The sequence below is a fragment of the Homo sapiens genome, chromosome 7 (genome assembly GCF_000001405.40).
Source record: "Homo sapiens chromosome 7, GRCh38.p14 Primary Assembly".
NCBI lineage: Eukaryota > Metazoa > Chordata > Mammalia > Primates > Hominidae > Homo > Homo sapiens.
In genome coordinates this window covers 93,290,262-93,303,347 of record NC_000007.14, presented here as the reverse complement: position 1 = coordinate 93,303,347, position 13,086 = coordinate 93,290,262, and the positions used below count along the sequence as shown (strand labels likewise).

Sequence of the window (13,086 nt, the reverse complement as noted above, 5' to 3'; positions counted from 1 at the left end):
AATCAACTTTGAGAACCCATTCTGATTAACACAGTAAACAGAAATGTTTACTTTTATTAGTTAATATCTTATCATCCTTGAGAGAAAAACTCTCTCAAATGTTTACTAAACTAAGTATTTTTACTATATTGCAAAAGTAATGCATAGGAAATGACAGTTTTATTAGAGGACTAAATTAAAAGCTTGTCTCCAACTCACATACTTAAAATATCCTTAGCTGATTATATATTGATGCTAAAACATCAAGAAAAAATTTACAGATTATATGAGATCATAAATACCAACATATTATGTTAAACAGCACAGGTCTGAACCATACCTAGTGAAGCCACAATAGCAAGATAATTATCACTTTCTGAAAATGTTTAGCTCAGTGCCTGTCTCTATATAGCATTTACAAATTAAATTAGCAGCTAAGACACGTATATACTTGACATTACACTAATCACTTACACCATACTGATCTCTTTTCTTTCTTTAATGCTATTATTCTTACTGTCTATCCTGAGTAATCAGCACATGATATAGGCAGTCCCAGAAAAACAAACCCTTATTTTCAGTTGACAAAAGGGCCAGTGCCTACCCTGTTCTTCCTCTTTCTACCACAAGTTGTTACTACCATGCTAAAAACAAAATCTAGATTTTTTAAAATCCACAGGTTCAAAATAAAGAGACAATAAATACATGAATCCGTAAAAATCAGGAATTGCTCCAAATACTAGAGTTAACAGACAAGGACTTTAAGATAATTATTATAAGTTAAATAAAATAGAAAAAAATGTATAAAATGGATAGAAAAGAGAATTTCAAATAACTGCAATAAGAAAAACAATAAAAGAATCAAATAGACATTTGAGAACTGAAAAATATACTTCCAATTAAAAAATGATTGGATAAGTAAAACAGCAGTCTAGAGGTGGCTGAAGACAGGATTCATGAACTCAAAGACAGATCAATAGAAAATATCTAAACTGAAGCAAAAATTTGAAAAAAAAAAAGGAAGAAACAGAAAAGATCATAAGAGAGATGTGAGATAGTCAAAACATTTATTATGCAGGCAATTGGATAGAAAGGACAGAGAACAAGCAAAAGCAATATTTGAAGACATAATGGCCAAGAATTCCCAAAAGTGACTGTGCTCATAGCTCATACCACATACAAAAATTACCTCAAGTGGATCACAATCCTAAGGTAAGAACTAAAAGTAGAAAACTTGACAACTCAACAACAGAAAACAAATAACCCAATTCAAAATGGACAAAAGCTTTGAACAAACATTTCTGTAAAGAAGAAACACAAAAGGCCAATGAGCACCTTAAACGATGCTAAACATCATTAGTCATCAAGGAAATGCAAACCCAAAACATAATAAGATACCACTTCATGCCTACTAGGACAGCCATAATCAGAGACAGAAAACAACAGGTGTTGACAAGGTTTTGGAGAAATTGGAACCCTCATACAGTATTAGTAGGAATGTAAAATGTATCATGACTTTGGAAAAAAGTGTGACAGTTCCTTCAAAATGTTAAACAGAGAGCGTTACCATAGGATCCAGTAATTCTACTCTATATTAGTTTCCTATGGCTGCTATAACAAATTACCACAAACTAGGTGACTTAAACAAGCAAAAATTTATTCTCTCACAGTTCTAGAGGCCAGAGCCTGAAAATCAGTATCAGTGGGTTGAAATCAAGGTGTTAGCAGAGCTCCACTCTCTGGAGGCCCTAGGGGATAATCTGCTTCCTGTCTCTTCCAGACAGGTTTGTGGTATTTATTACACAGTAATTTAAAACTAATACAGTGATAAAAGGTACCAGATTGAAGAAGCGCAGTCAACCCTAGGCATAAAAAATGTATAGAAAATAATATATGAAGTAAAAGTATATGACAACACCAAAAAGGTAAGAGAAGGTAAACGCAGTTACAAAGTTGGTTCCTGCATTATTCTGGAAGTATACTACCTAAAATAGACTACAGTAGAACATAAGTGCATATTGAAATGTTGGTGGTAACCATTACAACAACGTATTTCTTTTTTTTTTTTTTTCAAGACAGAGTCTCACTCTGTCACTCAGGCTGGAGTGCAGTGGCGCGATCTTGGCTCACTGCAACCTCTGCCGCACAGGTTCATGTAATTCTCCTGCCTCGGCCTCCTGAGTAGCTGGGATTACAGGCACCCGCCACCACGCCCGGGTAATTTTTTTGTATTTCTAGTAGAGACTGAGTTTCACTATCTTGGCCAGGCTGGTCTTGAACTCTTGACCTCGTGATCCACTCACCTTGGCCTCCCAAAGTGCTGGGATTATAGGCGTGAACCATTGTGCCCGGCCCCTAATGTTGTTTTAAAATCTTATCTGACAATTTTTATGTTTTGATAGAACTGTTTTTCCATTTACATTTAATGTATTTGTTGGCATAATTATTAATAGGTTTAAACCCATCATATTGCTGTGTGATATCTAAAAATGTTAAATATTTTAAAGAAATTTTCTCTTTCTGCATTTTTTTGATCAATCATATATATTTTTACTTTTTATATTATATATATTTTTCTCAGTTAGTAAAACAACATCAACAACAGCAAAACGAGACCAAACTTGATAAGCTGTTAACAAAGGGCACACTTTAAATATAAGAACATAATTAGAAAGAAAGTTAAAATTACACAAAAACACAATTTCTCAAAATCATGAGCTGGGGTAGAATTTTTATCAAAATTATTTTCTCTATTAAAGTAATAACGTGATATTTTCCTGTATTCTGTCAATTGCTAAATTAAATTTCTTAATTTTTCTTAATGTTTAGCCAACTCTGGCTCTCCTATAATAAATCCTACCTGTTCATAGCATATTATCCTTTTTAGGTATCACTGAATTAAATTTGCCAATATTTTGTGTAGGATTTTGCATCTATGTTCTTGAGAAAATGACTAGTCTGTCATTTTCCTTTTATAATGTCCTCTTGTTATGTTTTGGTATCAATGCTATGCTGGCCTCATAAAATAAGTTATAAAACATTCCCTGTTTCTCTATTCTATGAAAGAGTTGTATTGGTATTGTTTTCTCCTTAAATGTTTGGTAGAATTTACCAGTGACATCAGCAGGCCTGGAGATTTCTTAATGGAAATGTTTTGAAGCCCAAATATAATTTCTTCAAAGACATTTCTTCAAAAGACATATAATTTCTTCAAAATTCACATTTTCTATGTTTTGTTTTGTCAGCTCATTAAGTTTGGCTTTATAAGGAATTTGTTTATTTCATCTAATTTGTTGCATTTTCTTCTAAAAAGATAGGTGACTTCTCTCTTCTAACACCAGTCAATGCCACTTTAAGATCCTTGAAAACATTTTATAAGCTTTGATTACTAGAGCAATTACAAAATAAAATGTACTTATTAAACAATATTTTGACAATTATATATTGCTCTCTAATTTTTATGTCATTATTGTTTAAATTAGAATATTTGTGCTTTTAGAAGTTCTCCAGCATCTGACAGAACGATGTTCTTTGGGTGTATATAAACTTAGTACCTGAATATTTTAAAAAATGGGAAATAAAACTTATACTTTTGAGAAGTAGAAACAATCAATAATAGACGCTGTGTTCCCTCATGTGTTCATACAGTTTTATCCTAGAAAAAGAGAGTGGAATGCAAACTTTCATACAACTACCACAACTAACATTAATACATTTCATAAGTAGATGTTCCACCAAAACAAAACTGCTCCTATTTTTACCTTTTTATTATCCCTATAAATTCAAACCAATAGCTTAAATAGATTGAAAGTCAGAATAATTTGGTTCAAGAATTTCTTCATTCTCAAGAGCTATATTTGGCAGGAGAGGACCATGAACCAAACTGTATGCACATTTAAACACTTCTATTAGCAAAATAAGAACATACTTGATCTATATTTCACCATGTTTCATACAGTTTTTCAGTATTTATGTAGAATGACTGGCAAAGGGGATATTAAATTGGGATTTTGCAGATTTAGATTCATCACTGGCTAATGTAATGACTTTAGTCAATTCAATGTATGGACACTAGTATCATTTCTAAAGTTTCTGTTCAAGTTTATCTTGTTTTGTAAAGAAACAAATATACCTTAGAACACATTGATGGTTTGCACCAACTTTACCAAATGACTTCCACTATAATTTTCCTGATGGCAACTGTCAGAGCGAAAATGACTACAGACAGGATAGAAACTAGACTACCTTAAACTTTTGTTTAAATACTAGGGAAAAAGAAGAATACTAAGTAATAATTAAATTTTTGCTGTTTAACCTGCCCCAATTTTTACAATATACAATACTGCAAAAAAACGGGTCAAGATGTCTAGGCAACACTTATGGAGACCTTTTAATCTGGCCACTTCATTTTACAATGCATAAAATCACAGGCCAGAGAGGTTAAAGGATTTGCCAATACCAGACAGTTGGTAAGCAGCAAAAAATGCGACAAGAACCCAAGTCTACTATTACTCAACCCAGCTTTCCTTCTAATAATATAGCACAGCCACATCAATGAGAAATAAGTTTCACAAATGTTTCTAAGAGAAGTTATTTAAAATGTTGAGTGTTTGAGGAAGATTTAAGTCATTCATTTCTGTATTTTCTAATTTTATTAATGTGAACTCTGTGAGGAATTTCCATCATGGTCAAAATGCCCCTAGCTAGTTGCTACAGATGACAGACACCTTTTGACAATAAGTAAAACAGAATGCAGAATGGAAGCTACTAAATAAATCAGTGTCTCTATATTGTACACACATCCTAGACACCAGGAACACCAAAAGTTCTCCCAGTTGTCATGTTGGATACAAAGCAATCTCTGGGAAGAGAGACATTTGGCATGCCTTCATACTGCAGGGAAAGTGAGGCTTCCGGCTCCTTTGTGCTTCCATTTTATTTCCCCATCCATGATTAACAGGCCCCTCCCACTTCTATACAGGAATGTTTATAGGGCCAGCCTTTTGTTTTAGTCAGGGCTTAAGTTTTAGCAGACAAGGAACTTATAAATAAAGGCAGTGTTAGGGCTTCCTGTTGGTCCCTTCCCACTGTTTCCCTGAGGTTTAGTCAATTAAATTTTTAAAAAATTTTTAAACATTCTCAGTCATGAAACTCAAAGGCTCTGCTTTAGTATAGTTCAATTTAAATCTTTTTCAAACAATTTACTTCATTGTTTACAATTAACAGAGATAACTTGTATTCAAATATATATAATAATTAATTAATCAATGGTTTGGTGTTCAGTCATCTCTCTTTTGACATGGCATATATCACTGTGAGCAGGTGTTGACTATGAACAAGGAGAAAAAGCAGAATTTCAAATCATGACTCTCTCTGGGACCAAATAACAAGGAAATCAAAACTTAAATTCAATTGTAAAAAGTAAAAGTTCAGAATAAAAAGTAAGATGAAACTCAACTCAAAGGACAAAAGGGATACAACTTGGGGTCTAGCTTATATCAAGAGAAATCTCATGTTAGCTCTCCCTTCCCTCAATTTATTGCTGCTGTAAGGATATAATCACACTGCTATTATAAACATTCTTTCCCACCTTCCTCCACTACCCAAACCATTCCTAGTCACTCTTTTAAATATTAGCAGTGATTGTTTTGCAAAGCAATGCAGTATACAAATTTGGATTTATAGGGGAATTCTGAATATCACATCCTCTCCTCTAGAATCCTTCTTACATTTAAAAGATAGATACTCTCAAGCACCCCCTCACTGAGCACTGCCTCTACTGATTTAACTTCCTTATAAGCACACCCATATGTATGCAGGTATGGAACAGTGGCCAAATTCTTTCTGTGAACCTTGATATAATAATCATGTTTTACTCATTAAAAAATCAGTTCAATATTTTAAGCCCCTCAAGACAAAAATATATTAAAATGTACAATGAATATGTAATGAGAACATTTCATCATATTTTGGTTAAAAAAATCCTTAACCATCTTAAAAAAGCTACAACACATTCAAATTCAAAAGTAATTGTTTAAAATCAATTAATGCTATAAGATTAAGTATTAGACAAAAGTATTCTCATTACCTAAATAAGTCGATTCATATCTTATTAGAGTTCTTACCTATGGTAATTCTTGAAATAATTGACACTTTGTTTTCTAATAGATTCCTGTAAAACTTCAGACTTGCTACCACAAAATTCTTCTCCAACTTGCATCAACCTAGTTGGATAAAAAGGTTTCAGTAAATTTCAGCAGCAGCCTTATAGAGAAAAAGAAGTGTGGTTTCTCTTTCTTCAAAGATAAAAAAAATCACTAAAATTTGGACATGTGAAAAAATTCTAAAGATCACAAATCCATAAAGGTTTACAAACACCCAAAGGGCAGAAATATTTAAATACACTCACAAACTTAGCAGCAAAAATTATCTTCATTTCCATAAAGAAGTTATAGATGATAACTCACTAGCTCATGATTTATCATGGTTGAATGACTCAAACTAAAGAATAAGACAAGATCTTAAATACTACCTGCTGATTATATCCAAAACAAAGATGAAATCATCATATTTGAATATAGACAAATCAGTTCCAAGCAAGTAGGTTTTTACTTTTAGCTGAACATCCTGTAAGGCAAAGAAAAAGAAAATCAAGCAAACCCAAAATATAGAAAATAAGTTATCAGAAGCATTTACTCTATAGTTCCAGATTAAAATGAGACAGGAATATATTCCTAATTTGTTAACGAATATCTATTTAGGCCAATAGCCAACATCCTTAAGGGATGTAATAGAGACAATCCCATTTCCTATACCAGGAATGCCATCAGGTTGCCAAACTGAATGGAAAGTAGCTACATAAAGTGCTAAGTCAGTATTTCAAAGTACACTGAATTACCAGAAATTCTATCATAGATTGTAAAATTTTACCAAAGTACACTTAAGGCCTATTGGGAGACTAAGTCAGAAACAAATCATATCTGATCCTGGGTGTATATTCAATAACTATAAGATTTTCCTTTCTTTTTATGCATAATACTCAGAAAACAGTCAGCCTAAATCCACAATTAATGATAAATTAAATATTTAATTTTAATAAATGTTTAATATGGTTATGAGTTTAATATAGACAAATGAGAAAATATATGTCAAACCTCTTACAACCACAAAAATAAATTTTAAATACTAAAGCATAAAATCAAATAGCATATCGAATACAAAATTATCAAAAATTAGAAGAGCACTAAATTATAAATATTAACTGATTCATGAAGAAATTTATGTTTTCAAAATATATTTTCCTAAACAATTTTTTTCAAAACATATCCTATAAAAGATGGTCAAGCTGGGCATGGTGGCTGATGCCTGTAATCCCAGCACTTTGGGAGGCCAAGGCAGGAATATCACTTGGGCCCAGGAGTTCAAGACCAGTCTGGGCAACATAGCAAGACCCCATATCCACCAATAATAATTTAAGAAAATTAGGCATGGTGGTGCACATCTGTGGTCCCAGCTACTCAGGAGGCTGAGGCAGAAGGATCACCTGAGCCCAAGAGGTCGAGGCTGCACTGGGCCATGACTCTGCCACCACACTCCAGCCTGGGTGACAGAGTGAGACCCTGTCTCAATCAATCAATCAATCAATCAAAAGAAAGAAAGAAAAAAAAAGATGGTCAAAATAAAGATCAGCCTCATTAGAAAAATCAAAAATACATTTTAAAAGACCATAACATGGCCAAAGGGTCTATAGTCTTCCAAGGTTCAAAGAAGTCCAAAAAGAGTAAGTTATCTTCAAAGAAATTACACTGTGATCTAAGAAGTAACAAATTATCTGATTACAACAACTGAGTTACTAAATTGTAAAGAAAAACTTAATAAGATACTGCTATGGTCTGAATGTTCATGTCTACCCAAAATTCCGAAGCTGAAATTCTAACCTCCAAGGTGATAATATATTAGAAGGTGGGGCCTTTGTGAGATGATTAAATCGTGAAGGTAGAGCCCTCATTAATTAGATTAGTTCCCCTATAGAAGGGACCCCAGAGAGCTCCTTCATCCCTTCCACTATTTGAGGATACAGCAAGACAATGTCTATGAACCAGGAAGCAGGCCCTCCCTCCCAACAATGCTGGCACCCTGATCTCTGACTTCCAGCCTTTAGAATTCTAAGAAATAAACTTCTCTGTTTATAAACTATGCAGTCTAGAATATTTTGTTATAGGAGCCCAAATGGACTAAAACCAGATATATTCAGCCAATAAGCATGTAAGATTCCCTCAAGGTACAAAGATCATTGACTGAGAAAAAAAGAATTATTCATTCTAAACTATAATCTGACCTAAGTATGCTATCTACTTAGTTACTCCTTTTCTAAAATTAACAGAAAAAAAAATTAAGAAAACACAGATAAATGAAATAATAAACAGAACATCTCACTGAGAAAGCATACATTTCTCTATGATAGTGGAAATTTGCTAGGCCTCTAAAACAAAAGATGTACTCAAGACATGTATGAATATTTCCAGTGGAGATTTTCAAATTAAAAAACTTTTTTCCTGCCACTTATAGTCCAAATACATTACAGAAATTAAATGATAGCCTAATTCCAAACAGAAACATATGATTAAATCTGCAAAGAATACATATATAGAAAACTTAAAACTGAATTTCTAAAACTATGACATGACATTTCTATTGCTTCTGTGAAAAAAATAATTTTAAAAAAACCAAACCTGCCATATTCGTGTAAGTCCATGTTCTAATTTCTTTTTTATGTAGCCACGATCAAAATTAGTTTCTTCAGTACCTATCATATTACTCCCTTCTGAAAATAAAAGACAATATATATTTTTAGATTTAATCCAATTTGTGTTTGTTTTCCAAATAATTTCTATTTGGCCTCTCACACATTGTAAGTCTATGTAAGATACAGTAAATATGTTTGATATTTATACAATCAAAACAATATCAAACAATAGGTATTAGACTTAAACCCATTTGGTGAGACAAATAAACGTAGACTATGAAATGCTAAATATACCTAAGACCACTGAGATCATATGTGACTGAGTTGGGATTCTACCTGAGTCAGTGTGGTCCCAGAGACCAGGTTCTCAATACTGCCTACTGCAAGACCATGTAAAAGGCTGTGAGAAGGGCATTACAGGACCAATTAACTGAATTATCAATTAATATGCGTGCTAAGAGGATAGTCTACATTAAAACTCAGGCGTGAGGTGATAATGCATATATTTTATATTTTTCATGATAAATAATAGTTTTATCCACTCCAGATAAATAATTTAACAATGTCTAGTTTAATAGATAAGATCAGTGATCTGCCTCCAATCTCCGCCCTAAAGACAACTGAAAAAGACACATACACATTTATATTAAAAAGATGAAACTTTTGTGTGAATATCCTGTGAAGAACAACTAAGTGAGTATGTTATCATCTTGTCTTAGGTTGGGAAGTTATCCACTGATAACCAGTAAAAGGTCCTTGGAAATGCCAGGCCTCAGATACACAGATGCATGACAAGTTTGCCTCTGAGCACTCCTAAAACGTAAGCCTTATTATTACACCCATGGTATGGCTGTTAGGGATCCAGCAGCCTAAGGCAGTGCACCTGAACTATAGCTTTAGAGCTTTACCTTAGAACGTTAAAGTATTAGGTTACCAAACAGTATCAAATATTATCACTAAAGAGATACAGCAGATAAAGTCTAGAGTCCTCTTCAGTTTTATGAAGTTCCATGAAAAGTAATTTTCAATTTACTAATTTCTACAATTTTATTCCTGAATATAAAAGGATTAATTTCAGGTGAACAAGTAACTTTTTATAGTCCTAGATACTATCAGCTGACAGCTTGAGCACTTGAATATCCATAAAATATACAGATTAGGCAAAGAGGGTTGAGTAATAAGGATCAGATAGAGTTTTCACTTTGACTCAGTATTCCAACGAATGTAAACTATTGGCCTAAAGCAAAAAGCAAGCTTTACCATGATGAATATATACATAACTGTCACCTAAATTCTGATATCTAAAATATGTGTTAATTCTATTCCAAACGTTTTCTTTGGTTTCTCCTTAAATAATGTACTAGAAAAGCAAATATGTCTTAACAGTCTCCAGGTATTTCACTATTATTATATTATCTCTTGATCCATTTCATTTCATCATATTAACCACCACCAATATAAGTACCTTACATGCTGTCCAAACTTTACAACAACCCTGCAGGGTAGATGCGTTACTACTCTAAGGGTTTGGTTTGGTTTTGCTTTGCTTTTTAACTGACCAATTTTAGGAGCAAACTGAAGAATGGGAAAAATAAGCAGTGTCTTCAAGTTCTCACCTTTGGTAAATAGAAGTGAAAACTTGAAGCCAGGCCTCTCAGATCGCAGAGCTCATGGTCCCAGGGGTAGTACAGGGTAAAAGTATAAGTTTTGGGTAAAAGTAGTCTGACCTGGAATCCTGGCTGTGTGCCCAACCTTCTCTCTGCCTTTCTCTCCCTTCCTTTACTCTCCCCAACAATATTTCCAAATGGATAAAAATCCATTCATGGAATTTTCCTCTTATTTTGTTTTCTATATTTACAAGCTTCTTGTAAGTCAAGACAAAGATTAAACCTATGCCTTCTAAACTACCAAAACATTTAATCAAACAGTGAGATTTGGGTGTGTTGTCCACTCACCCAACAACAGAAAATAAGCCCCTCAGAAACTGGAAGTTTATTAAAGTAACTTGATTGAATAGCTACAATAAATTGTATATAATACAAAAAAAAAGATGTGCAGTATAATTTATTTTATCCATATTAAACAAAATGCTGATAAAATCATTTACTGTTTTTATAAGTATTCTGAATATTCAATCTCAGCTACTGTTCAAGGATAATCAGTTAAGATATATAATTATACAAATGAAGCAATTTAAATAGAATGATTAATAAATACAATAATTTTTCAAAGACGTATTCTTTATTATTTAGCTGACTGTACCACAGTCATTTAAAGTTATATTTTCCATTCAAAGATGAATATTTTAAAACATCATTTTGAAAATGAAATTCTAGTCTTGCTTCATTTTCAGGAAGGAAAGTATCAATATAATTAATTCTTAGAACCTAGCTTTATTACTGTAACTTGAAAATTGGCTAAATAGATTAATATTGACCATCTAGCATTAATTTCACAGTAAACTTAGACAGACCAATGTCTTATCTAGTTTGCAACTAATAATATTAACAACAACAAAAATTTATAAATTCAGTCCTAAAGCCATCAGCACACACTTCTGGAAACTAGTACTATGTGCCACTTAAAAAGTCCTTTGGCCCAGTTACTCTCTAAAGGTAATAGAACATTTGAAGTAGCTGAATCACTTTCTTTGCTCAATATTTAGCCTATGGTCACTGTAATCTTTGAAATCCCAAAGGCATTCCTGCCCCTTTCCTTTCTTCTTACTCCAGTAATGTGGGATATTTATAGTTCAATTTTTAAAATAAAATAAAAATATTTTCCTACCAGAAGCTGAAGCAGTATCCTCATTGTCATGCTTTTCATGCCATTCCATAGTCCTATAATAGCTGAGCATAACTTCCCATAGTGCTTTGCACAGGTCTGCAAGGCATGGAATATAGCTGTCTGGTGTAACATGCTAAAGAAAATGATAAGAGACAACTTTCAAATTATTATGTTTACTCTAACAGTTATAATAAAATAGGTTATTAATCAAATATATTCAAAAATTAGAAATAACCAAGAAAATTTCTTCAACTGACATATCTAAAGAGAAAATTCAATGGGGAGAAAAAAAATTTTTAAATAATTCCCATCTCAACATGGCTTTTTCGTACACATTAAGAATATCAGCCCATATGCTGTGAATCAATCTGTAGTTACAGAACCATAAAGAAATTACTGAATTAGCAACTGGTCCCATAAATAGCAGTGTAAACATCCCCAAATGCATTTTTTGAAAGACATGATCCTAAACATGCAAATACAGCTTTACATAGCCTGGACCTCAGGCCTTCTTGCAAAAAGAAGGTTGGATTTACAATTCTGTCATTTCATTTGTGTAAATTAAGTAAACATCTTTGACAATCTCTAAATTTTTAAAATCGTATGGAATAGATATTCTATATCTGACAATAACATTTTAAAATAACTTCTAACATAAACAAGGCTATGAAACAATATATGAACTCAAATACTCTCCTTAATGGAAGTGCATGAATTTTGCTTCCCTTTGTAAAAACAACCAATTTGCCATTCTGCCCTTTTATTTTATTCTATTTTGCAGGCTTCCCATTTGTCATAATGCAGCAATTGCTCCATCATTTGAGATTTTCTAGCATTTATTTAGTTTGTGATCAATCGACTACAACTTATGCTGATGAAATATTGAAAGTTGAAGACTCTGGTGTAAGTAAACTCCCCAAGATAAACAGCTAGTAGAAATAAGCTATGGCAAGTATTGCCATGGTGTGTGGTTGATGCTCATGATGTCACAGTTGGTAGTGGTCCTTGCTCTTTCAAAAGGCTTTTTCTTCCCATAATGATCTCTCCCTCTAAACTCATTCACCAAAACATTCATTTGGCAAGTAATAAAAATACTAGCTTACATGATTTACTACACTTCCATGTAAGTATATCAAATCTTTGAAATTAAGACTGTGGGGTTTATGCCAAGAATGCTAGAATGGCTTAATCTTACAAAATCTATTAATATAATTTGCTCTATTAATAGGTCTAAGGAGAAAAATCAAATGATTATCTCAATAGGTGCTGATCAAAAAAAATTTCTCAAAGTGGGCTTTAAGAAAATTCAAAACCCACTCCTAACAAAAACATATGAGGAAATAAGAATGAATAGGTATTTCCTTAATATGAGAAAACTCTAAGGCACAACCCCTGTGGTCACAAAAAAAAAAAAAAAAGATGCCCATTATCTCCACTACTGTTTAACTGTTTACACTGCTATTTATGAGAACACCTGCTAATTCAATAATTTCTTTGTTTGATTCACAGCATATGGGCTGGTATTTAACAATGATTCAGAAGTACAAGCTAATGCAATTAGATTACAGAAAACA

At 32.7% G+C, this 13,086-nt stretch overlaps 1 protein-coding gene across 6 annotated transcripts in view; it reads right to left on the bottom strand.

Annotated features, from left to right (window-relative positions):
- The window catches only part of VPS50 (VPS50 subunit of EARP/GARPII complex), a 128,758-nt gene that overhangs the window by 57,776 nt on the left and 57,896 nt on the right, over window positions 1-13,086 (bottom strand). For all 6 annotated transcript variants that reach the window (NM_001257998.2, NM_017667.4, XM_011516396.4 and 3 more), the window contains 4 exons: window positions 11,513-11,645; window positions 8,712-8,803; window positions 6,512-6,606; window positions 6,105-6,203 (listed from right to left, as the gene is read on the bottom strand). In NM_001257998.2, coding sequence (NP_001244927.1) covers window positions 6,105-6,203; window positions 6,512-6,606; window positions 8,712-8,803; window positions 11,513-11,645 — 419 coding nt within the window. The remainder of the gene's footprint in view (window positions 1-6,104; window positions 6,204-6,511; window positions 6,607-8,711; window positions 8,804-11,512; window positions 11,646-13,086) is intronic.